Genomic DNA, 26923 nt, shown 5'->3' with positions numbered 1-26923 from the left:
ATTTTGAGCTGACTGAGAAATGGAAATATAGCATCTTAAAATTTAAAGGGATACTGTTTAACCATTACTGTAAGGGAAATTTGTGTCCTTAAAATGCATATTCCACAAAAGAGGAAAGGCTAAAAAATCAATGACATATGGATCCATCTCAGGGAATTGGAAAAACAATAGAAAATTAATCCTAAAGAATGTAGAAGGAAGCAAAGATAAGAACAGAATTTCCTGTAAGAAAGACATATTTGACAGACAGCATTATTGAAACCGAAAGTTTCTTTTATGAAAAGACTAATAAAATTGATAATACCACTAGAAATATGGATAAAGAAACAAAAGAAGAGAGAGAAAGCATAAATAACCAATATTAGGAATGAGACAGGAGCTACCATTATATATCATAAAACAGAACAGTTACAATTGGATATTGTAAATAATTTTAAGTCAGTATACTAAAAATTTAAATAAAATACATAGATTCCTAGGAAACATAACTTACCAAAAAGAACACAAGAAGATAAATTTCTGCACTGACCTATAACTATTAAGTAACTCAAACCCATCTCACAAAGTAAAGCCAAGACTCAGATGCCTTCACTGAGTAATTCTATCAAAATTTAAGAAAGAAATAATATCAATCTCACATGACATTTTCCAGAGAACAGAAGAAAATAGATGTCTTTACAACTCTTTTTATAAAGTTAGAATAATACTGTAACTAAAATATTATAAGGAAAATATGAGAAAGGAAAATTTGGGTTAATTTTACACATCAATATAGATGCAAAATTTCGAACAAACTATTAGAAAATTGTAAACAGTGATGTATTAAAAGGATAATATACCCTATTGTAGTTTGGTTTATGCCAGCGTTGCAAAGTTGGTTTACATTTTGAAAGTGAATCAAGGTAACTCACCACAGAAACAAAGGAGAAAAATCATACAGTCAAATCAATAAATGCAAAAAAAACCCTAAAATTCAACATCCATTTATGAGAGAAAAAGTCTTTTAGCAAACTAGGAATAAAAAGTAACTTCTGATAAAGGTTATTTACAAAACCATCTAAAACACGCCATCCACAATATCCAACATTCCAAAAAATACTACATATATAACAAAATGAATAAATAGTCATAATAAGGAGGGAGGACAATAGTCAATAAAGGCAGACTCACAGATAACCCAGATACTGGTGTTTTCTGACCAGGACATTAAAACTGTTATTGTAAATATGTTAGAGAACTTACAGGAGCAAATAAGTGGAATGAATGAACAGATGGAAAACTTCAGAGGATAAACAGAATTTCTAAATAAGGACCAAGTGGAAATACTAGAACTGAAAAGTGAAGTGGAGGTAACATTCTCTAACTTATTTTGTGATCATTAAAAAGTCAGGAAACAACAGATGCTGGAGAGGCTGTGGAGAAATAGGAACGCTTTTACACTGTTGGTGGGAATGTAAATTAATTCAACCATTGTGGAAGACAGTGTGGCAATTCCTCAAGGATCTAGAACTAGAATTACGATTTGACCCAGCAATCCCATTACTGGGTATATACCCAAAGGATTTGGGGTGGGGGGAGGGGGGAGGGATAGCATTAGGAAGAATACCTAATGTTAAATGACGGGTTAATGGGTGCGACACACCAAATGGCACATGTATACACATGTAACAAACCTGCATGTTGTGCACATGTACCCTAAAACTTTTAGTATAATAAAAAAAAAGAAAATACATGAGCTGCTGGAAACTTGTATGCAGTTACATTAGAATATGTAGACAAGCTGATATAGTGCATGTTGGAACAGTCCAGAATGAGACAATATTAAAAATATTTATTTTGGGACCCGAGGTAGGTGTTGAAATGGTTATGAAGGGCATGCAGCCTCACCCAACTGTCTTTCTGTGCATTGCCATGCCGTTTAAAGGGCCAAGCACCTTTTGAGAGTTGATGCGCTTTATTTACTAAAAGTAAAAATATCTTTGGTCCCATTTTTCTTTTCTTTTGGGGTTAAAAAATAATTTGTTAGTTGTCAAGATAGCCAGGCTGAAGAAAAAAATGGCTTTTCCCCTCGTTTTTAACCTGCTTTGATGACATAGTAACCAAATAACCAAGTGGTTCATATACACTCAAAATATTTAATCACAGTCTCTAGGGGCAGGGCCGGATCATCAGAACTTTTCTAAAGTTCCCCACATCACTCTATTGTGCCATCAGGATTGAGAAACCACTTGTCTGAAGTCTCACCAGTTTGAACTGACATTAGTAAGGAGAAAACTTAGTCCAAAAGAGAAGGCTAGCAAAAGGAAACATGTAAATCAGCTATGAGATGTGAATGTGTTGCTTCAGGAATTGCTTCATTGAATTAAGGGCGTGAAAAGAACTTTGAGAGTTCAATTATTTCATTCGTGTGCATCCAGATAGAAACATACTCCAGGAATTGATATTCTGTTTTTAACAGCTTTCAGTGCTACTTATCCAAGTATCTTTTTGTAATCCATTCCCAAATATTGCAATGGATGGAAAAGCAAGCAAGCAAGTAGACCAATAGTACAAAACATTATAGAAAGAACTTATTTTCACACATAATAAAAATGGAAGTAAAATTAGTTACTTTAGGATTAGTTTAATTAGGACAAGTTAAATTAGGATTGCGACTATGCATCATGGGTAAATTTTCATATATGCATATTACAATAAAACTGATTTTGCAAGACCAAAAAAAAATCATTCTACGATAAAGACACATGCACACGTATGTTGACTGCAGCACTGTTCACAATAGCAAAGACTTGGAAACAACCGAAATGCCCATCAATTTGAGACTGGATAAAGAAAATGTGGCACATATACGCCACGGAATACTATGCAGCCATAAAAAGGATGAGTTCATGTCCTTTGCAGGGACATGGATGTAGCTGGAAACCATCATTCTCAGCAAACTAACACAGGAAGAGAAAACCAAACACCACGTGTTCTCACTCATAAGTGGGAGTTGAACAATGAGAACATATGGGCACAGGGAGGGGAAGAGCACACACTGGGGCCTCTCGGGGAGTGGGGGCTAGGGGAGGGATAGCATTAGGAGAAATACCTAGTGTAGGTGACGGGTTTATGGGTGCAGCAAACCACCATGGTTTGTATACCTATGTAACAAACCTGCACGTTCTGCACATGTATCCCAGAACTTAAAGTACAATTTTAAAAACCCAGCATAAATCTGATAAAATACCTGATAAAGATGACACACACACATACACACACCAGACCATGTATTCCTCATGTATCTAGATGCAAAATACTGAAACAAAATTTCAGCATATTGAATCCAACAATGTATAAAAAGGATAATATATCATAATCAAATGGGGTTTATTCCAGAAATGCAAGGTTGTTTTAACATAGGAAGTCAATTAGAATAATTAACCACTTTACTAGAATAAAGCAACAAGCCATAAAATAATAGATGTAGAAAGTACATTTACTAAAATTCAAGTCATATTCCTGATAAATACTCTCAGAAAACTAGGAATTGAAGGAAACTTCCCCAACCAGAAAAAGGCCATTAATAACAATAACAAAAAAATCCAAAAACATGGCTAACAACATACTTAATCATGAAACTAGAATGTTTTCCCCTAAGATCAGGAACAAGGCAAGGTTGTCCATGCTTACTCCTCCTAACTAGTGAGCACAATGCAGCAAAAAAACAAACAAAAGGTATAAAGTTTGCAAAAGAAGATGTAGAACTCTATTCATATATGACATTCCTTATATAGAAAATGCTGAGAAATTTCCAAAGCGCTTACTGGAAGTAATAACTGTTTTTATTAAGATTACAGCATTCCAGGTCAGAATATAAAAGTCAGTTGCATTGTGTATACTGTTAGCAATTACAAATTGAAATTTTAAAATGCTGCTTGTAATAGCACAAGAAATCACTTAGGAATGAATTCAATGAAAGATGTGCAAGACCTCTATACTTGCTATTGTCAGACATCTTAATTTTTGCCGATCAGATGGTTATATCATATCTCACTGTGACTAGATTACAATTCCCTAATCATTAATGAGGTTGAACATCTCTTCATGAATTGATTGACCATATTGACCATATGTGTTTTCTCTTAGAAATGTCTGTTCATACTATTTGCTCACATATTGTTTGCTTTTCCTATTGACTTGTAGGATGTCTTTTTTTTTTTTGAGACAGAGTCTCACTCTGTCGCCCAGGCTGGAGTGCAGTGGCACAATCTCAGCTCACTGCAACCTTTGCCTCCTGGGTTCAAGCGATTCTCCTGCCTCAGCCTCCTGAGTAGCTGGGAATACAGGTGTGTGCCACCACACCCGGCTAATTTTTGTATTTTTTAGTAGAGACAGGGTTTCACCATGTTAGTCAGGCTGGCCTCATACTGCTGACCTTGTGATCCGCCCGCCTTGACCTCCCAAAGTGCTGGGATTTCAGGCATGAGCCACCGTGCCCAGCCTGTAGGATGTCTTTAAATATTCTTGATATTAATACTTTGTCAGTTGTGTGAATTTCAGATACCTGCTGCCAGTTTGCAAATTGCTTGATTATTAATCCCTTGTCAGATGGGTGGTTGGCAAATTATTTTCTCCCATTCTCCAGGTTGTCCCTTCACTTTGTTGGTTGTATCCTTTGATGTACAGTAGCTTTTTAATTTGATGTGATCCCATTTGTCCATTTTTGCTTAGCTTGCCTGTGCTTTTGAAGTCTTACTCCAGAAATTTTTGCCCAGACCAACGTCCTGGTATGTTTCCCCAATGTTTTCTTGTAGTAGTTTCATAGTTTGCGGTCTTAGATTTAAGTCTTTAATTCACTTAGATTGTATTTTTTGTATATGGCAAGAGGTAGGGGTCTCATTCTTCTGCATATGGATATCCAGTTTTGCTTGGGCTGATTTCTAAAAATTGAAACTGGTAACATTTGAGTAGTGAGATTATGGGAAATGGGGGAGGAGAGACTTTGTTTTCTACCATTCTTTATGGTTTAAATACATATGTATTTCTGTATGTGTCTATAGCAGGTGTGGAGATTTTAATTATATGTGTCATTGTATATGCCAAACCTCATCAACAGTTTCCTTGAAAGAATGGGGTGGTAAATAATGAAAGAAAGAGGCTTTTACTTATTATTTTATATATTTCAGGGTTGTGTGGATTATTTCCAACACCTCCAACAATCCCATCTTTTTTTTTTTTTACAATCAGTTTTATTTTTAAGTTAATATAAAACAATGAAACCTTCTTCAAAGAACACTAGTCATGTGGAGCTCCACCACTTTCCTCAGGCATGGTTAACTTCTTACTCCTTTGCACCTTTCACTGTGTTGTATGCTTAAAACTATTATAAATAGTAGTAGTTATCACCCTGTACTTGTCTTTCTTCCCTGCTAGTTTGTGAACATCTTGAATGGTGGCTAGGACTGCTGATTTATTTATGTTTGTATCTTAATACTTAAGAAAGTACCTATTATAGCTGGTCGTGGTGGCTCACGCCTGTAATCCCAGCACTTTGGGAGGCTGAGGCGGCGGATCACGAGGTCAGGAGATCGAGACCATCCTGGCTAACACGGTGAAACCCCGTCTCTACTAAAAATACAAAAAATTAGCCGGGCGTGGTGGCAGGTGCCTGTAGTCCCAGCTACTCGGGAGGCTGAGGCAGGAGAATGGCGTGAACCCGGGAGGCGGAGCTTGCAGTGAGCCGAGATAGCGCCACTGCACTCCAGCCTGGGCGACAGAGCAAGACTCCGTCTCAAAAAAAAAAAAAGTACCTATTAGTAATATTTATTTTGTGAAATAATGAAGTGAGTGAATATACTTAAGAGTAGATTTTTGGGAGATTTTTCGATGTAGTGGGAGAAGAGTATTTGATTAAGAATTTAATATTTGACTAGGAGTTGGAAATTTTTTTTCTTTGAAGATCCAGATAGCACATATTGTAGACTTCATAGACTACAAAGAAGAAATTCTAGTCTGGTCTTGGTCTGGAGTCTTGGTGTCATACTCATCTTTGTTTTTCTTTACAACTCCTTAAAAAATATAAAATCCATTTTTAGTTTGTGGGGCACAGATTGCCAGCCCCTGTTTCAGACAGTATCTGTAGGTAGGAGGTTGGAAACAAGAGACAGTGAAGAAATAAATGTAACCCAGATTATCAGCAGAGGAGTTTCTGTGCTCTCCTCTTTGCCCTCAGCCACAAAATCTCAATAAATTTGACTTTAGCCTTCCATTCTCTATCCTGTAATTACAGACTGCTCCCTAGTGATTAGTAAATTCTATTATATCTCTAGCTATGGCTTTAATTTATGTGATTGGTTTCATCCCATATCAGCATGAAGTTCAGTCCTTTCATCAGCTTACAACTCACATACCCACACATACGCATGCGCGCACACACACACAGGCACTCACCAGTCCACTCAACATAAGCATTTTGTGGGTTTAATTACACTACTGCATATTTGAGGGTGTAATTGAGAAGGTTCACATTGAGAACCACACAGCCTATCTGCAATCACATAGCTCTCTCAGTCTTCTGCCACAGGACAAATTAATTCCTTTTAAGACCTTATGCAAATGGTGTTGTTTTATTAATTTTTCTAAAACTATGCTACTCAGCATCACCAACTCCAAGCAGGTTTATCAAGGCATTTTCCCAACATAAAGTTTATGCCTAACAACAGCCGTAATAACGATAGTAATAGCAGTGATACATATGTAGGGCTTAGTATGGAACATATAATTCTAAGTATTTTAGTCCTCACAGTAAAGCCATGAGATAAATACTATTATCAACCTCATTTTACAAAGGAAGAAATGGAGTCACTGAGGGTTTAAGTAACTTGCCCACAGCACACATAACCAGCGGAGAAGAAAGTTTCACATAGTCGGAATAGGGGTGATTAGTAGTGTCACAAGCAGAGAGACCCAGAAGGATGAGACATGAAAAATAATCCTTTTACAATTATGGGTCAGTTGACAGGATAACGACAGGGATACATTCTGAGAAATGCCTCATTCAGCAATTTCATGGTTGTATGAACATCCTAGAGTGTTAACAAACCCAGATGGTATAGCCTACTACACGTCCAGGCTATATGATATATATAGCCTGTTGCTCCTAGGGTACAAACCTGTATAGCATGTGACTGTACTGAATACTGTAGGCAATTGTAACATAACGCTGAGCATTTGTGTATGTAAACACATCTAAACATAGAAAAGGTAATGCATTGTGCTACATTACCATGTCACTAGGTAATAGGATTTTTCGGCTCCATTATAATCTTATGGGACCACCATCATATATGTGGTCTGTTACTGACAGAAATGTCATTATGCAGATGACTGTATGTATTTGGAAGGTTAAGATTAGTGAATTTTTTAAAGCACTGCTTCAGTTAGGTAGTAGGCCAAAAGGAAGATTGTATGACATAAAATAAGAGTGGCTAATGAGAAAATGTAAGTAATGGTTATAGATCACTTATGCTTAACTTTTCACAATTTCTCCTTTGTTTAATCCTCTGTATTGAGATCATTAAATCTATCATTTTACATAATTATATCTGTAGTGTTATTCCTATAGCCTCATAAAAGTTGTTGTATATTACTACTAACTTGTTATTATCCAATCTTCTAGGATGTGGTACCACAGATTGTCCCACCTACACAGCAGGCTTCAGGACTTGCTGAAGGGAGGAGTCATATATCCGGCCCTTCCACAGCCCAACTTCAAAAGCTTACTTCCTTTAGCTGTCCATTGGCACCATACAGCCTCCAAGTCTCTGACTTGTGCTTGGCAGCAACATGAAGATCATTTTGGTAAGAGATGTGTGAAGACAGATACTTTTTAAAACTTGTGGTAAGAAATGTTTGCTTTGGCAGCACATATATCAAAAATTGGAATGATAAAATCGTGGTAAGAAAACACATAGTACAAAATTTACTATCTTAACCATTTTAAGTGTACAATTCACATTGTTATGCAATGATAAATACCTTTTGTGTGGTCTGAAAATACTTTTTGTGGAGTTGACAGGACCTCTAGCCATTTATTTTTAAGATTAGCCTACAAGTTGGGAGAAAGACAAAAATAACAGAGGGCAATAGTGAAATCCCTTCTCAACTAGGGGAAGGCAACTCAGCCTGCTCCAGCCCCACTCCATCTCCCTGTCTTACCTAAGGGAAAAAAAAATAAAGAAAAGAAAGCCTTAATATACAAGGGAGAGGGTTTCAAAGATATAGACTAGGAATGTTAGAACCACAGAAAGTATTAGTTGGCAGGAGGGAATACTTTACCTATGTGTATGAGTCTTCTAAGGCTGCCATAACAAATTACACAAACTAGGTGATTTAAAACAACAGTGTATTTTCTCATAGTCTTGGAGGGTTGGTAAGGCCATGCTCCCTTTGGGAGAGAGTTTTTCCTTGCCTTTTCTAGTTTCTTATGGTTGCTGGCAATCCTTGGCTTTACTTTGCTTGTGCCAGCATGACTCCAATCTCTGCTTTCATATTCACATGGCCTTCTTCTCAATATCTAATCTCTGTCTTCAAATATTTCTCTTTATAAAGATAGCAGTCATTGGATTTAGAACACACCCTAATCCAGTGTGACCTCATTTTAACTTGATTACATCTGCAAAGAGGCTTTCTAAATAAGGTCACATTCACAGGTACCAGGGATTAGGACTTCAACATATCTTTTTGAGGGTTACAGTTCAATCTACCACACCCTGGAAGAGAAACAAAAACAATTGTTAAAGTCACACTTCCAAGACACAGGCCCACTATGCACTCCAAAGACTGAGAATCTGAAGATTGTAGAATGCCCTCATCCCCCCACATCCTACAACAAGCTAATAAGCCTCCAGTTAAAATGACAGTGGATTACAGCTGGAAGAGCTGCAAGAGACAGCCTGTCTCTGAGGTACAGCACAAAGGGAAGGGCCAAGGCCAAGAGAGAAGACAAAAGCAAAATCACTAGAGAAATTTAATGCTTCTGGTACCCACAGAGACAACAAACATCAAACACAACCTAACTCCAGGCCAGATTAATATAAATATTCATGGTAAAATCCTATTTACCTCAGTAGCTATTGCTCTATACAAGATGTCTGGCTTTTAACAATAACAACATTACAAAACTTGCTAAGGCAAGAAATAACACAATTTGAAGAGACAAAGCAAGATCAGAACCAGACTTACATATGACACAGGTGTTGAAATTATCAGTCAGAATTTTAGGATTTTTTCTATTTCTGTGAAAAATGTAATTGAAATTTTGACAGGAGCTGCATTGAATCTGTAGATCACTTTGAATAGTATAGATATTTTAACAATATTAATTCTTCCAATCCACGAAGATGGAATTTTTTTCATTTATTTGTGTGTTCTCCAATTTATTTAATCAATGTTTTATAGTTTTGAGTGTAGAGATTATTAATCTCCTTGGTTAAATTTATTCCTAAGTATTTTTTTGCAACTATTACAAATAGCATTGTTTTCTTGATTTCTTTTTCAGTTAGTTCATTGTTAGGGTTTAGAAGCATTAATGATTTTTGTATGTTGATTTTACTGAATTCATTAAGTCTAACAGTTTTTTGGTAGTCTCTTTAGGGTTTTCTATATATAAGATTATTTCATCAGTGAACAGAGACAATTTCATCTCTTTCTTTCCTATTTGCATGTCTTTTATTTCTTTTTCTTGCCTAATTACTCTGGCTACGACTTCCAGTACTATGTGGAGTAAGAGTAGGAAGAGTGAACATCATTGTCTTGTTCCTGATCTGAAAGGAAAAGTTTTCAACTTAAGACCCTGAATGGCTAAAGCAATCTTGAGCAAAAAGAACAAAGCTGGAGGCATCATACTACCTGATATCAAAATATATTACAAAGCAATAGTAATCAAAACAATATGATACTGGCATAAAAATAGACACATTAACAAATGCATTATAAATAAACACACACACACACACACACCCCTTAAAATAAACAAGCAGGACCTCACACATGGGCATATTATATTAAAACTGCAGAAAACCAAAGACAAAGAGATATTCTTGAAGGCAGCCTAGTGGGGAGAAAAACACCTTACCTACAGAGAAACAAAGATAAGAATTGCAGTGGACTTCTCATCAGGAACTGTGCAAGCAAGAACACAATGGAATGACAACCTTAAAGTGTTAAAGGGGGGACAACTACCAATGTAGAATTATATATCCAGCAAAATGATCCTTCAAAAGTGAGAGATAAAGACTTTTTCATACATCAATACTATTTTGATTACTGTTGCTTTGTTGCATGTTTTGAAATTGGGAAGTGCGAGGCCTCCAATTTTGGTCTCATTTTTCAAGATTATTTTGACTATTCAGGGTCCCTTGAGATTCCGTATGACTTTTAGGAAGGTTTTTTTCTGTTTCTACAACAAATTCCATTGGAGTTTTGATAGGCATTGCATTTAATCTGTAGATCACTTTGGGTAGTATGGACATTTTAACAACATTAAGCCTTCCAATCCATAAGCAGGAGATGCCTTTTCATTTATTTGTACCTTTCTTTGATTTATCTTAGCAACATTTTGTAGTTTTCACTGTAGAAGTGTTTCACTAACTTGGTTAAGTTTATTCCTAAGTATTTCATCCTTTTTGATGCCATATGCAGAAGGCTGAAACTGGATCCCTTCCTTATACCTTACACAAAAATTAACTCAAGATGGATTAAAGACTTAAACATAAGACCTAAAACCATAAAAACCCTAGAAGAAAACCTAGGCAATACCATTCAGGACATAGGCTTGGGCAAAGACTTCATGACTAAAGCACCAAAAGCAATGGCAACAAAAGCCAAAATAGACAAATGGGATCTGATTAAACTAAAGAGCTTCTCCACAGCAAAAGAAACTACCATCAGAGTGAACAGGCAACCTACAGAATGGGAGAAAATTTTTGCAATCTATCCATCTGACAAAGGGCTAATATTCAGAATCTACAAAGAACTTAGACAAATTTACATGAAAAAAAAAACAACCCCATCAAAAAGTGGGCAAAGGATATGAACAGACACTTCTCAAAAGCAGACATTTATGCAGCCAACAAACATATGAAAAAAGCTCATCATCACTGGTCATCAGAAAAATGCAAATCAAAACCATAATGAGATATCATCTCACATCAGTTAGATTGGCAATCATTAAAAAGTCAGGAAACAACAGATGCTGGAGAGGATGTGGAGAAATAGGAACGCTTTTACAGTGTTGGTGGGAGTGTAAATTAGTTCAACCATTGTGGAAGACAGTGTGGAGATTCTTCAAGGATCTAGAACTGGAATTACCATTTGACTCAGCAATCTCATTACTGGGTATATACCCAGAGGATTATAAATCATTCTACTATAAAGACATATGCACACATATGTTTATTGCAGCACTGTTCACAATAACAAAGACTTGGAAACAACCCAAATGCCCATCAGTGTGAAACTGGATAAAGAAATTGTGGCACATATACACCATGGAATACTATAGAGCCATAAAAAAGGATGAGTTCATGTCCTTTGCAGGGACATGGATGACACTGGAGACCATCATTCTCAGCAAACTAACACAAGAATAGAAAACCAAACATCGCATGTTCTCACTCATAAGTGGGAGTTGAACAATGAGGACACATGGACACAGGGAAGGGAACATCACACACTGGGGCCTGTCAGGGAGTGGGGTCTAGGGGAGGGATAGCATTAGGAGAAATACCTAATGTAGATGACAGGTTGATGGGTGCAGCAAACCACCATGGCTCATGTATACTTATGTAACAAACCTGCATGTTCTGCACATGTACCCCAGAACTTAAAGTATAATAAAAAATAAAATAAAATAAATAAAGGGAATTTTTTCTTAATTTTTCTTCTTAGATCGGTCACCATTAATATATAGAAATGCAATGCATTTTATGTATTGCTTTTGTATCCTGCAAATTTTCTGACATCATTTATTAGTTATAATACTTTTTATTGCATATGGAATATTTAGGGTTTTCTACATATAAGATCATGTCATCTGTGAATACAGACAATTTTACTTCATCTTTTCCAATTTAGATTTCTGTTACTTCTCTTTCTTGTCTAATTTTTCTAGCTAGGAATCCCAGTACTTCAACAATAGTAATATTGAGGGTGGGCATCCTTTCCTTATAATGTGCATCCATTAACATAGATCTATAATTATTTGTTACTTTTGTTTTTAAAATTTATACCATATTTAAAAGTGATTTACACACTTATATTACAATTCTACACAATAAACCTTTATCAGAAGGTTTATATTTTCATATGGTTTTGTGTTGCTATTTATCATCCTTTTTCTTCAACTTGAAGGATCCCTTTAGCATTTCTTGTGGGGCAGATTGAGTGGTGATCAACTTCCTCTCCTTTTGTTTATCTGGGAAGTCTTAATCTCTCCTTCATTTTAGAAGGACAGTTTTACAAAATATAATGTTCTTGGTGGGCAGGTTTTGTTCTTCAGTAATTGAATATATTATTTCACTCCTTTCTAGCCTGCAAGGTTTTGCTGAGAAACCAGCTGATAGTTTAATAGAAGCTCCCTTATATGTGATGAGTCATTTTTTCTTGCCACTTTCAAGATTCTGTCTTTGTGACTTTTGACAGTTGGATTTTGATGGGTCTCAGTGTAGGTCTCTTTAGATTTATTCCAACTGGAGTTGTTTGTTTATTCAAATTGTGTGTCCTTTTCTCTCATCAAATTTGGAGAGTTTTCAGCCATCATTTCTTCAGATAAGCTCTCTACTCATTTCTCTTTTCCCCTTTTGTGATTTGCATCATGCGTATGTTGTTCTGCTTGTTGGTGCCCCATAAATCCCTTAGGCTCTCCTCATTTTTCTTCATTCTTTGTTGTTTTTTTCTTCTCTTTCTCAATAATTTCAAAGCCCTATCGATGAGTTTACTAATTCTTTTTTCTGCCTGGTCAATTCTGCTATCGAATCCCTCCAGTGAATTTCTCCAATTCGATTATTAGATACTTCAGTTCCAGAATTTCTGTTTGATTCTTCTTTATACTTTTATTTATTTGTTGATATTCTTATTTTGTTTATATGTCAGTTTCCTAATTTTGTTTAGTTGCCTATCTATGTTCTTGTTTAATTCTTTAATTATTCTGGTGATGCTTATTTTGAGTTTTTGGTAATTTATATTTCTCTATGTCTGTAGGGGTGCTTTCTGGAGGTTTAAATTATTCCTTTGAATAGTCCACATTTCTTTGTTTCTTCGTATGTCTTACTATATCTTGTTGAGACTTTAACATTTGAAAGCTCAGCTACCTTTCTCAGTCTTTGTGGTCTGGTTGCATACAAGGAGGACATTCTCCAATTAGCCCAGTTAAAGAATCCAGAGACCTCCTAATCCTTTCCTGGGAAGGCATACTCTTCTGGGATTGTGCATATAATCATCTAGTTGAAGAGATTTATCAGTTTCTATTCAGGAGTTCCCCTTGATGTCTGTCTGTGATACTGCCATCTCTCTGTTTCTGTAGTAAACTAGGGTATTGGAGCTCCACATAATGTCTGTCTGTGGTCTACAGACTCTGGTGCCAGGCCAAGCCACATTGATCACCTTTGTTCTCAGCAGGCCCCCAACCTGGCATCCCATTGCTGTCAGTTCTTAGATTCAGGCAAGACAGAAACCAATCTTTTAGATAACACCCTGAAAAGTTAGAATGTTGGACATTCAACTTCTTTTCCCCCCTAGGATAAGTCAGGAGGTAGGGGTTTCCTCTCAGTTACAATGCACCAAGCTGGGAGAAGAGTCTCTGGTGAAGAAATGCCATGAATTTTCCTACTGGGTTTTGGTGAGGTTGGCTTTGCACTTGCCTGGGGTGCAGCAACCTTTTAACTCATTTCTGAATTTGTCATAAAGGCAATTGTTCCATAAATTGTTATTCAAACCATGGGGGAAGGAGGGTCTTTTTTTTCTATTCTGCCATCTTGCTGATGGCACTCCTGGAATATTATTTTAATATGGGAGATATTACATGTTTGCTAATGAGGATGATCCAATAGGGAAGGAAAATTTGGTGATGCAAAAGAGAGGAATAGAACTGCTTCAGGAGCATAGTCTCTGAGTATGAAAAAGAGATAGAATCTAGTTCATAAATGGAAGTATTGACCTTGATTAGATGCACAGATATTTCAACGATTGTAACAGAAAGAAAGGTGGAATATATGGGCACAGATGCAGGTAAGTGATTGGATATGGGGCATCAGTTTGTGAAGATTCTCTTATTGCTTCTACATTTTCTTTGAAGGAAGAAGCAAGGTCATCAGTTGAAAGTGTGAAGGGTGAGGAGGTGTTGGCAGTTTGAGGATGGGGAGATGGTATGACACAGTCTTCTTAGAGAGTGAGTGATTTTACTAGGAAATTATGCAAGAATTATTTGGCTATATTGAGTACTAATTTGAGATTTTTCATGATGAGTTTAAAATGATACTAGCCAGTGCAGTTTTTAAAATTTTCTCCATCATAAGCGTCCATCAATGGATGAGTGGATGAAAAAAGTGAGGTATACATACACAATGTAATACTACTCAGCCATAAAAAGAGTCAGATCCTGTCATTTGCAGCAACGTGAATGAACCTGGAGGAATTTATGTTAAAGGAAATAAGCCAGGCATAGGAAGACAAATACTGCATTATCTCACTCATACGTGGAATCTAAAAAATTTGATCTCATAGAAGTGAGTATAATGGTAGTTATCAGAGGCTAGGGTGATTGAGGGGAGGGAAGATGGAGACATGTTGGTCAGAGGATACATAATTAGAGTTAGATAGGAGGAATACATTTCAAGAGATCTATCATACAGCAAAATGACTATAGTTAATGATGATATTGTATTCTTGAAAAACAGAGTTGACGTTACATACTAGCACCACAAAAATAATAACTATGTGAAGTAATCCATTTATTAATTGGTTAGGTTTAGCCATTCCAAAATGTATATATACTTCAAAACATCATGTTTACAAGATAACAAAACACAGTATTTGTCAATTAAAAAAATAAAACATAAAAGAAAAATTTTTCTCCAGCAATTTTCAGCTGCTTGGCTGCACAGGAGGTAGGAACTTGAGTTTACCATGGTTGGGGCTTTGTCAGAGAAGTATGGCACAGAGAGAGGGGACAAGGAAGTTAAGAATGTTTGCAGGGAATTGATTAAAATGATGGACCATGGAATATGGGCTCTGTAAGGAGGGAAGTGAGGACATTAAGGAGGTAAGTGAGGACATTAAAGGAAACAAGATGACAGAGAGTGAAAAGGAGCTTAGGGTCAATGAATTGGAGCTCTTTATGGGGTTGAAGGATTATCGGGGTGAGGAGTGCCAGAATAATTGAACTGGAATGGTAATAAGAGGTGGCTAGAGTATGGAATGTTTTAAATGAAAATTTTGAGAGTACTGTCATTAATGATGATGAAGTTGCCAAGGATGACAGGGAAAGGATAAAGTGGACAACAGTAAACTGGTCTTCATTAAAAATGGAGAGTGACTCAAGAGGTACTTGATTAGAATAATTAAGAAAGCATGATCTTCAAAGAAGCTTGGGTTTTAGAGGAAGGAGGGAGAAAAAGTGGTCCAAAAACAACATTGAGAAGCGAGGAGGTAACTATCCTAACAGGATTACTGCAGCCTTGTCTTGCTCTCCTGATGATCCATTATCCATCCTGAAACTAGAGTGCTCTTTCTAAACTCCAATCTGATTTTACTGCCTTGATTTTTAAAATCCTTTTATAGTGTCCCAGTGTCTATAGATGATGAATACCTGAATGTGGCAGGAGAAAGGAGTGTAAATGGAGAGGTTATATGGATTTCAGAAAGATTTAGGAAGTGGAATCAACAGACCTTGGTGATTGATTAAATGTGGGTTATAAAAGAGATGAATCAAGGTGAGTTTCAAATTTCTTTTCTGTATTAAAATTTTGATAAGATCTAATTAATAAGCATTTGCTGAGTGTTAATTTTATTAACTGAGCTAAGAACTGTTAGAGAACCAAAGATGGAAGATTCCCTTTCTCAATGTAAGATGTAGAGTCCCTGAAATGAATAAAATAAGTAAATAAATATAAGAAGCATAATTAGCTTATGCCAGACACAAATGTAAATTGAGTTGATACCTATCAAATATTTAATTTCAAAGAGGAAATACATTATTCAAAGAAGCTGCCTTGAATAAATGAATTTTTAGCTATATTTTGAAGGAGAAGGTGGTCATTTAATCAGAAAGTCCTTTAATTAATTTCTCCTGTGATTTCAAGGAGAAAAGTTACAAGTGAAAAGGCAAGAATGGATTCCAGTCAGCAAAAGGACAGTAAGCATACCAACTTAACTAAAATGAGGGGATATATTGAAGCCTACTAAAAGGCAAGTCTAGCCACACAGTAGTTTATTCCACTACTACACTGCTTATATAACTAGCAACTCTTAACCTGAAAATGGAATATAGCATATAGTCAGGATTACTAGCTATCTAGTAGAGCAGGAGAAGATCATTTGTAGATATGTGGCCTGTATTGGAGTTACCAGTAAGGCAGCTGCACCACTGCTTGATTTACCATTGATTTATTCAACAAACATTTAATGAATACCTACCAGGATTCAGGCATTGTCCTAAGTGCAAAGCATGCAGAGAGGAAGAAGACACATTCCCTATCCTCAAGATACTCACAGTCTTGTGGCAATGATAAACAAGCATAAGACAAGATGAGAAATTCTTTTAGGAAATACATAGGGTGCTGTAAGAACAAAGAGGAAAGGTACTTAATCCAACCTGGAGAGTTATGAATGACTGCCTGCTGAGTCATGAGTATTGAATATGAACTAGGCAGGGGAAGAGGGTTGAGGCAGTGAAGAAGAATGTTTCAGTTAGAGCAAACTATATGTACAAGAGTTAGGCTACAGAGAATATGTCATATTGGCCTATATGGACTGCTACATCAAGTGCAAGGAAGGGTTGACAAAAGATGCTACAGAGGTTAGCCGGGGCCACATTGTGCAGACCCTTGTAGGCAATCTTGAGGAGATTGGTCTTTATTGTAATGGGAAACTACTTAAGGGATTCTAAGCTAAATTTCATTGGAAAGAGTATTCTGACTGATGTGTGGAGCTTAAATGGAGACAGGGGTTAGTTAGGTTTCAAATGCTATTAAGGTGGTAGTATTAGCTACTCTTGCCAACTCACTAGAAGTGAAGGAGAGGATGAAAAAAAGAGTTTCTGCTACAGATTATCTCAGAGGTCAGCAGACTTTTATCTGTAAAGGGCCAGTGCTATGGACTGAATGTGTTTTCTCCAAATTCATATGTTGAAGCCTAACTCCCAATGTGATGGTACTTGAAGATGGAACCTTTGAGAGCTAATTAGATTATTAGGGTGGAGTCCTCATGATGGAATTAGTGCCATTATAAGAGAGAGCACATTCTATCTCTATCATTTGAGGATATAGCAACAAGGTAGCCATCTGCACAGCAAGAAGAGTGTCCTCACCAGGAATCAAATGGCCTGGAACCCTCATCTTAGACTTCCTAGCTTCCAGACAGTGAGAAATAAATATCTGTTGTTTAAGCTACCCAGTCTATTATAATTTTGTTATAGCAGCCTGAACTGACTAACACAGCCAGACAGTAAATATTTTAGGCTTTTTTTGGGCCATGTACAATCTCTGTCCCATGGTTGTCTTAGTTGGCTCAGGCTGCTTTAACAAAAGACCATAGCCCAGGTGGCTTAAACAACAGACATTTATTTCTCACAGTTCTGGAGGCTACAAAATCCAACATCAGGGCACCAGCATAGTCAAGTTCTGGTGAGGACTCTCTTCCTGGCTTGCAGAAGGCTGCCCTCTGCCTTCTTGCTGTATCTTCACATGGTGGAGAGATAAAGGGCTCCATCTCCTGTCCCTTGTTATAAGAGCACTAATACCATCATGAGGAATCTACCTTCATGGCCTAATTATCTCCCAAAGTCTCCATCTCCAGATACCATCACATTGGGGATTAGAGCTTTAACATATGGACTTAGGGGAGACTCAATTCAGTCTATTACATTCCACCCATAGATTCCCCAAATTCATATTCTTCTCACATAAAATACATACCTTCCATCCCAACAACCCCGTCTTAACTCATTCCAGCATCCACTCTAAAGATGAAAATTCCAAAGTCTCAACTAAATCTCACCTAAATTTGATATGGGTGAGACTTGAGGTACAATTTATCCTGAGGCAAAATTTCTTCTCCTGTGAAACCAGATAAGTATGTGCTTCCAAAATAGGAAGGTGGGACAGGTACAATAGAGACAGTCCCATTCCAAAAAGAGAGAAATAAGGCCGGGTGCCAGGTGGCTCATGTCTGTAATACCAGCACTTTGGAAGGCTAAGGCAGGCAGATCACTTGAGGTCAGGAGTTCAAGACCAGCCTGACCAACACAGCAAAACCTTGTTTCTACTAAAAATACAAAAATTAGCTGGGCATGGTGGCGGGCACCTATAGTCCCAGCTACCAGGGAGACGAAGGCAGGAGAATCGCTTGAACCCAGGAGGCAGAGGCTGCAGTAAGCCGAGATCGCACCACTGCACTCTAGCCTGAGGAAGAACTAGCCCTGCCCCTTGGGCCTGTGGTGGGAGTGGCAGCCCCGATGATCTCTAAATTGCCTTTAGCCTCACTCTTCCCTTTTTTTGAGGAATAAATAGCACATGCACAACTCTTTCAATTTTGTCCCATTTTCTCTGTTCTTTTTGGTCCCAGCTGGCAGTTTTTCTGCTGGTATAATCCCATCTCTGTTTATGGCTTCTGTTGAGATGGCTGACTAGGACCATGGTTCATGCACACACTTATCTCCTTATCAAATGTGGATCAGCCACACCCTTAGTATTCTCTTTCAAACATACTTTCTCATTCTTTGCAATATGGATAAGCTGAGAATTTTCTAAATCTTTTAAGTCCTGGTTCCTTTTTGTTTAACAGTTCCTTCTTCAATTCATTTATCTCTTCTCGCATTTTACTGTAAGCAGTCAGAAGGAACCAACTGCTCTCTCATCACTTTGCAGCTAAGTTTTTTGCCACTTTATAAAAAGTGTCACTTTTTTTTCCTTTGTCCAGTAGCATGTTCCTCTTTTCCATCTGAGACCTCATCAGAATGGCCTTTACCATTCACATTTCTACCAGCATTCTGTTTACAATTATTTATATTCTCTAGGAACATGGAGGCTTTCCCTCTAGCTGTCCTCTTTTTTTTTCTGACCTCTTACCAGAAACACCATTAGCAATCCCTTCACAGTAATCTAGGCTTTTTTCTAGCATGTACCTGAAAACTCTTTCAGCCTCTACCCCATTACCCATTTCCAAAGCTGCTTCCACAATTTTAGGTATTTGTTACAGCAGTACCCTACTTCTCAGTACCAATATCTATATTAGTCAGTGTTCTCCAGAGAAACAGAACAGAACCAATAGGGGGATATATATGTGTGTGTGTGTGTGTGTGCGTGTGCACGTGTGTGTGCATGTGTATGTGTGTGTGTAAAGGAATCAGCTCACACAATTATGGAAACTAAAAAGTACCAGTCTTCCATCCATAAGCTTGAGACCCAGGAAACCTGGTGATATGATTCCAGTTTAGTCTGAAGGCCTAAGAACCAGGAGAACCTTTCTAAGTTCTAGTCGAAGTTCAAAGGCCTAAAATGGAAGGCTGATATGTAAGTTTCAGTCCAAGAACAGGAAAAGACCAATATCCCAGTTCAAGCAGGCAGATAGAATTATTCCCGCATTGCAGAAGGCAATGTACTCTACTCAGTCTATTGATTTAAATGCTAATTTCCTCCAGAAACACTCTCACAGAATTAATGTTTAGCCACTTATCTGGGCACCCCATGGTCCAGTCAAATTGACATATAGAGTTAACCATTACAGTGATTTTCTTTGTTTTGTTTTTGTTTTATTACACTTTAAAAGTGTAAAAACCATTTTTTATCTTGCAAGCCAAACAAAATAGGTCACATACTATATTTGACCCACAAGCTGTAGTTTGTTGAACTGTGCATCATCTCACTGCAATGACCAAACTGAATAAGGGTTAGTGGTACTCAAACACTTTTGTCACTCTAGGGAAAGGGTTCTCAATATTTTTAGGTTATAGACCCCATAGAAATTCTACACACACACACACACACACACACACACACACACACACACACACGAATTTTGCATATTATTCCACACACCCTAGGACAAGAACTCCAACTGTAGGGCACCACCAAATGAATAGCCCTATTTCAGAGTATCAGCAGTTGTATCAGACAGTCTTTCAATTAAGTTCAGTATCTATACATTTTCAAGCATCCAGTTGGGGTATACCTTGAAAGCACTTGTATAAGGCATGCCTGCTGTCACAGACAAAATGACTCAGTAAAGACCAAGTGTTGGCTTATAATGAGGAAATAATATAGGTACATGGAGGTGATGCCCCAATAGTCCATTCTGCTTCTCTCCTGTAAAGCTCAAGACTATTAGAAGGGAAAGACATTTTCTGCAGGACGTAAGTTGCCTTCTATCTGCATGTTTGACTTAGGCAATAGGATTTTCTGTAATATTCTCAGAGGGTTTCTGATGCCTGCTTTTTTTCTGTGTGTAGGTAACCCTTCTGTTTCTATACATATCTCATGATCTTTTCTTGTTGTTGAAAATCTGGACATTTTAGATAATATTTTATGGAAACTGAGTTCTCATGTCCCCAGAGGAATTGTTGCATATTTTTGTGTATTTGTTTGTATTTTGTGTATTTGTTTGTTTTGTGTATTTTTTTGTTGTCTGGGGTAATTCTGTGGAGTCTTTGTGCCCTGCAGTGTGTAGCCACTGATGTCTCTGCTCAGGTTTTATTTTTACTTCTTGTTTTTATTTTTAACTGTGGTTTCCTAAGCATTGCACTGGGGTCACCATAGCCCAGAGGCTCTCAATTGGGGTCTATTTTGCCCCCCAGAGGACCTTTGGCATTGTCTGGAGACATTTTTTGTCGTCACAACTGGAGAGGAAGATGCTGCTGACACCTGTCCCTATGACAAAAGGACTATCTGGCCCAGATGTCCATAGGCCTAGTTGAGGCATCAGGTTGGGAATTCCTGATATAGTTTAGAGGCCAGCCAAGTATTGATCAGAGGTTATGCTTAAAAAACTTAATGTAATAAGGCTTCCACCCTTTGCCAGAGGATCTGTGTGTTGTTTGAGGCATACACTTGAAGTTTGAGCTATTTACAAGTGATATGGTTTGGATGTTTGTCTCCTCCAAATCTCATGTTGAAATGTGATCTGCAATGTTAGAAATGGGGCCTGATGGGAGGTATTTGGGTCATGAGGGCAAATCCCTCATGAATGGCTTGGTGCCTGCCCCTCAGTAATGAATTCAGACAAGATCCAGTTGTTTAAAAGAGCCTGGCACTTCTTCACTCTCTCTTGCTCTCTCTCTCACTATGTGTCATGTTAGCTCCCCTTCACCTTCTGCCATGATTATAAGCTTCCTGAGGCCCTCACCAGAAGCAGATGCCAGCACTATGCTTTCTGTACAACCTGCAGAACCATGAGCCAAATAAATCTCTTTTCTTTACAAGTTACCTAGCCCCAGGTATTTCTCTATAATGATGCAAACAGACTAACCATAGAAGTTTGTCCTGGTTTTTACTTTCTGTCATTCTCATGTCTCCTACAAAAAGCCTCATTTTCATCCAGAGACATGTAAATAACTGGAGCCATTTCCAGTCTCTCTTCAGTGTGCATACAGCACTGCATGCATGTGCAACCTTCCAAATACTAGGGATGTGTGGGAGCTTTTCAAGGCCCATTATAGCTTTCTCACTCCCTATATAGCCTGGTTAGATTTCTGCCTGTTCTTCTGGTCTGTTGTTTGCTCCAACCAGTATGGCTTCCCTAATTGTTTTTGATAACACCCAGATGCATGGGGGTTTTATGCATGCTCTGCTCCAAATCAAGTTAGTCATATTTGACAGCAAAGCTGCCGGTTTTCTTGGTTTAGCCCACCTTCGTGGAACTACTGCTGATTGGAGCTAGAGGTGGAGGAATAGGAGTGGGAGCACCCCATGCTAAAATACACCACAGATTCCCACTGTTTTTACCCAAGGTTCAGTAGTTTTTTTGTAAATAAATGCTTCCTTTTTAAAAGAAATTGCATTGTGTATGTTTAAAGTATATGACATGATATTATGAGATACATATAGACAGTATAATGGTTACTATAGTGAAGCAAATTAACATATCAATCATCTCACATAGTTACCCATTTTTTTGTGGCAAGAACAGCTACCATTGACTCATTTAGCAAAAATCCAAAACATAATGCACTATTATAAACTATAGTCTTCATGTTGTTATATAACAGACATCTAGATCTGATCATTCTACATATCTGCTACTTTGTGTCCTTAGCCTCATGCCCCTACCCTTGGCCCTGGTAACCACTGTTTTATTCTCTCTGTATATTTATTTGACTTTTTTTTTAAGATTCCGGATACAAATGAGATCATGCAAATTTTTTTTCTGTATCTGGTTTATTTCACTTAGCATAATGTCCTCCAGGTTCATCCATATTATGGCAAATGGCAAGATCTCCTTTTTAAAAGGCTGAATAATATTCCATTGTCTATATATACCACAGTTTTTTATACATTCGTCCATCAACAGACATTTAGGTTCTTTCCATATCTTGGCTTTCATGAATAATGCTGCAATGAACATGGAAGTGCAGGTATCTTTATGAGGTAGTACTTTCATTTCCTTTGGGCATATACTCAGAAGGTAAAAGAATGAAATTGGACCTTTGTCATCCTACACACAAATCAGCTCAAAATGGATAAAAGACTTAAACAAGAATAAGACCTGAAACCATAAAACTCCTAGAAGAAAACAGGTGGTAAAGCTCCTTGACATTGGCCTTGGCAATGATTTTTTTGGATATCACACCAACTGCTTAGGATACAAAAACCAAAATAAATAAATGAGACAACATCAAACTAACCAGGTTATGCACAGCAAAGGAAACAGTCAACAAAATGAAAAGATATCCTAGAGATTAGGAAAAATATTTGCAAACTGTATTTGTGATAAGGGGTTCATATCCAAAATTTATAAAGAATTCATACAACTCAATAGCAACAAAACATATAACCCAATTAAAAAATGGTCAATGGATCTGAATAGACATTTCCCCAAAGAAGACATACAAATGACCAACACGTATATGAAAAGATGCTCAACATCACTAATTATAAGAGAAATACAAATCAAAACTACTCTGATATACCACCTGACACCCATTAGAATACCTATTATCAAAAAGACAAGAGATAACAAGTGTTGGCAAGGGTGTGGAGAAAAAGGAACTCTTGTACACTGTTGGTGGGAATGTAGATTGGTGTACCAATTATGGAAAACAGTATGAAGGTTACTAAAGAAATTAAAAATATAATAAATACTTCTCAATTTGCTGTATACCTTTGGACAATTTCCAGAGTCTTAAAATGGTTCTTTTTTAGTTTGGCCAGTTTTATCAATACTTTTGGGGGAGAAAATTTGCCAAGCTCCTCTCTGTGTTTTTCTAAAAGAAGTATCACCTCCAGATTCCCAAGGCTGTACTTTGAGACACATTAGTGTACTAGGCTGTGGGGTTGCATGACTTGGGTTCATGTCTTAGCTCTACCACCTAATGATTATATTCTTACAAAGTTACTTAGCATCTCTGAGCTTTAGTTAGTTGTCCTTAAAATGAGAATGATAATACCAATGAAAGTGAATGTGAGAGGTACAGGTATAGCAGTTTTTAAAAACTATTGCTTAATATCTTAAAATGTGGATAAACCACAGTTTATTCAGCGATTCTTCCACTTCCCCACTGATAGACATTTAGTCTTTTTTCTAATTATTTTTACTATTATAACCATCACTATTATGAATAACCTTATATGCAGCTCCACATGTGTGACACTTTCTATACGATAAATACTGAGAGGTGCACTACTATTTGTCCAAAGGAAAAGAAGTCATTATATCAAAAAGACACCTGTTTGTGTATGTTCATCACAGCACAATTTACAATGGCAAAGATATGGAACCAATCTCAGTACCCATCAACCAATAAGTGGATAAAGAAAATGTATATATACACCATGGAATACTACTCAGCCATAAAAAAGAATGAAATAATGTATTTTGCAGCAACTTGGATGGAGCTGAAGGCCATTATTCTAAGTGAAGTAACTCAGGAATGAAAAACCAAATACTGTATGTTCTTACTTACAAGTGGGAGCTAAGCTATGTTATGCAAAGGCATACAGAGTGGTATAATGGACACTGGAGACTCAGAAGGGGAGAGGGAAGGAGGGGGATAAAGAATAAAAAACTACATATCAGTTTCAGTGTACACTACTCGGGTGATGGGTGCACTGAAATCTCTGACTTCACCAATATACAATTCATCCATGTAACCAAAAACCACTTGAGCCCCAGAAGCTACTGACATAAAAAAAAATATTAAAAGATAAAATAAATAAATAAAGTACAAGAGAAAAAAATAAATACTGAGAGGTGAATATCTAGGTCAAATATGCACATTTTAAATTATTTTCATAGAAACTTGCTGATTGCCATCTAGTATAACTTTAACAATATATACTCCTACTACCAATGTTTGCAAGTATGCATTTTTCCCCACATCCTTTAAAACACATTTTAATCAGCCTTTAAAATTTTTATTGCTCTGATGGGTATAAAATGGTATCACATTTTGGTTTAAATACCCATTTCTTTGATTATTACCAAGGCTGGGGGCAGTTCATACGTTTGCCCGTCACTTCTGGTGACTTTCCTTATTGATATCCTTCACCTATTTTTCTGTTGGGTTTTTATCTTTAATGATCACAGAGGTTTATTCTGTATGCTGGATATTAATCCTTTTATGCTACAAATATTTTTCCTGTTACTTCTCTTTTAACTTTGCTTTTATATTGTTTGCAGAACAGAAGGTATTTATTTTAATATAGATTAATTTATCTCTGTGCCTTTTGTGTCATATTAAAACAGCCTTTCCTACCTCAAGGTTGTCAACATTTAATGTTTTACAGTTTTAATTTTTTGTACTTTAATCCATCAGAAATTTATTTTTTTTGAATTATATGAAGGCATAACTTATTTTTTTCTTTTCTTTTGTAAATTGGGTCACACACTTTATTTACCTTTTCTAAATGAGTAACCTGATGTATAGAAAGTCTTTGTTTTTTTTGTAATTTTTTTATTTTGCTATAACTTCAAATTAACAGAAGGTTAGTTGCTAAAATAGTACAAGGACCTCCTGTATTAGCCTGTTCTCACACTGCCATAAAGAACTCCCAGAGAATGGTTAATTTATGAAGAAAAGAAGTTTAATTGACTCACAGTTCCATAGGCTGTACAGGAAGCATGGCTAGGAGGCCTCAGGAAACTTACAATCTTGGTAGAAGGTAAAGGGCAAGCAAGCATGTCTTACCATGGTGGAGAAGGAGAGAGAGACAGCAAAGGGGGAAGTGCTACACACTTTTAAACAACCAGATCTCATGAGAACTCACTATCATTAGAGCAGCAAGGGGGGAATTTGCCCCCATGATCCAATCACCTCCCACCAGGTCCCTCCCCCAACATTGGGGATTACAATTCAACATGAGATTTGGGTGGGGACACAGAGACAAACCATATCATTCCATCATTCCACTCCTAGCCCCTCCCAAATCTCATGTCTTTTCACATTTCAAAACCAATCACGCCTTCCAACGGTCTCCTAAAGTCTTAACTCACTCCAGCACTAACTCAGAAGTTCAAGTCCAAAGTCTCATCTGAGACAAGGCAAGTCTCTTCCACCTATGAGCTTGTAAAATCAAAAACAAGTTTGTTACTTCCAAGATACAATGGGGGTACAGGCATTCGGTAAATGCTCCCATTCCAAATGGGAGAAATTGGCCAAAGCCAAGGGGCTACAGGCCCCATGCAAGTTCAAAACCCAACAGGGCAGTCGTTAAATCTTAAAGCTCCAAAATAATCTCCTTTGATTCCATGTCTCACATCCAGGGTATGCTGATTCAAGGGGTGGGTTCCCACGGCCTTGGGCAGCTCTGCCCCTGTGGCTTTGCAGGATACAGCCCTGGGGGTGCTTTCACAGGCTGGCATTGAGTGGCTGTGGCTTTTCCAGGTGCACAGTGCAAGTTGTTGGTGGATCTACCATTCTGGGGTCTGGAGGATGGTGGCCCTCTTCTCATAGTTCCACTAGGCAGTGCCCTAGTGGGGACTCTGTGTGGGGCTTCCAACCCCACATTTCTCCTCCACACTGCCCTAGTAGAGGTTCTTCATGAGGGCTCTGCCCCTGCAATAGACTTCTGCCTGGATATCCAGGCATTTCCAGCCATCCTGTGAAATCTAGGCGGAGGTTCCCAAGCCTCAACTCCTGCCTTCTGGGCACCCATAGGCCCAACAACACATGGAAGCCACCACTTGGGGCCTGCATCCTCTGAAGCAATGGCCCAAGCTGTTCTTTGGTCCCTTTTAGCCATGGCTAGAGCTGGAGCTGCTGAGACACAGAGCCAAAGGACATGGGGGCCATGTCCCAAGGCTGCACAGAGCAGTAGGGCCCTGGGCCTGGCCCACAAAACTCTTTTTTCCCTCTTGGCCTCAGGGCCTGTAATGGGATGGGCTCCTGCAAAGGTCTCTGACATGCCCTGGAGACATTTCCCCCCCATTGTCTTGGATATTAACATTTGGCTTCTCTTTGCTTATGGAAATTTCTGCAGCCTTGAATTCCTCCCAGAAAATGGTTTGTTTTCCA

General features: G+C 37.6%; 1 protein-coding gene across 7 annotated transcripts in view; it reads left to right on the top strand.

Moving 5' to 3' along the window:
- TMLHE (trimethyllysine hydroxylase, epsilon) overlaps positions 1-26923 on the top strand; it is a 123942-nt gene that overhangs the window by 60015 nt on the left and 37004 nt on the right. For 3 of the 7 annotated variants that reach the window (NM_018196.4, NM_001184797.2, XM_017029620.3), the window contains exon 2: positions 7661-7842. The exons of 1 other annotated variant lie outside the window; for it this stretch is intronic. In NM_018196.4, the coding sequence (NP_060666.1) occupies positions 7662-7842 (181 nt within the window). In that variant the 5' untranslated portion in view covers position 7661. Of the gene's footprint in view, positions 1-7660; positions 7843-15819; positions 15972-16572; positions 16578-20150; positions 20153-26923 lie in introns of those variants that run through there. 3 more of the 7 variants (XM_011531182.4, XM_047442236.1, XM_047442234.1) reach the window with 3 other exon arrangements.

This window comes from Homo sapiens, chromosome X (genome assembly GCF_000001405.40).
Source record: "Homo sapiens chromosome X, GRCh38.p14 Primary Assembly".
Taxonomy (NCBI): Eukaryota; Metazoa; Chordata; class Mammalia; order Primates; family Hominidae; genus Homo; species Homo sapiens.
This window is presented reverse-complemented; position numbering and strand designations above follow the sequence as displayed.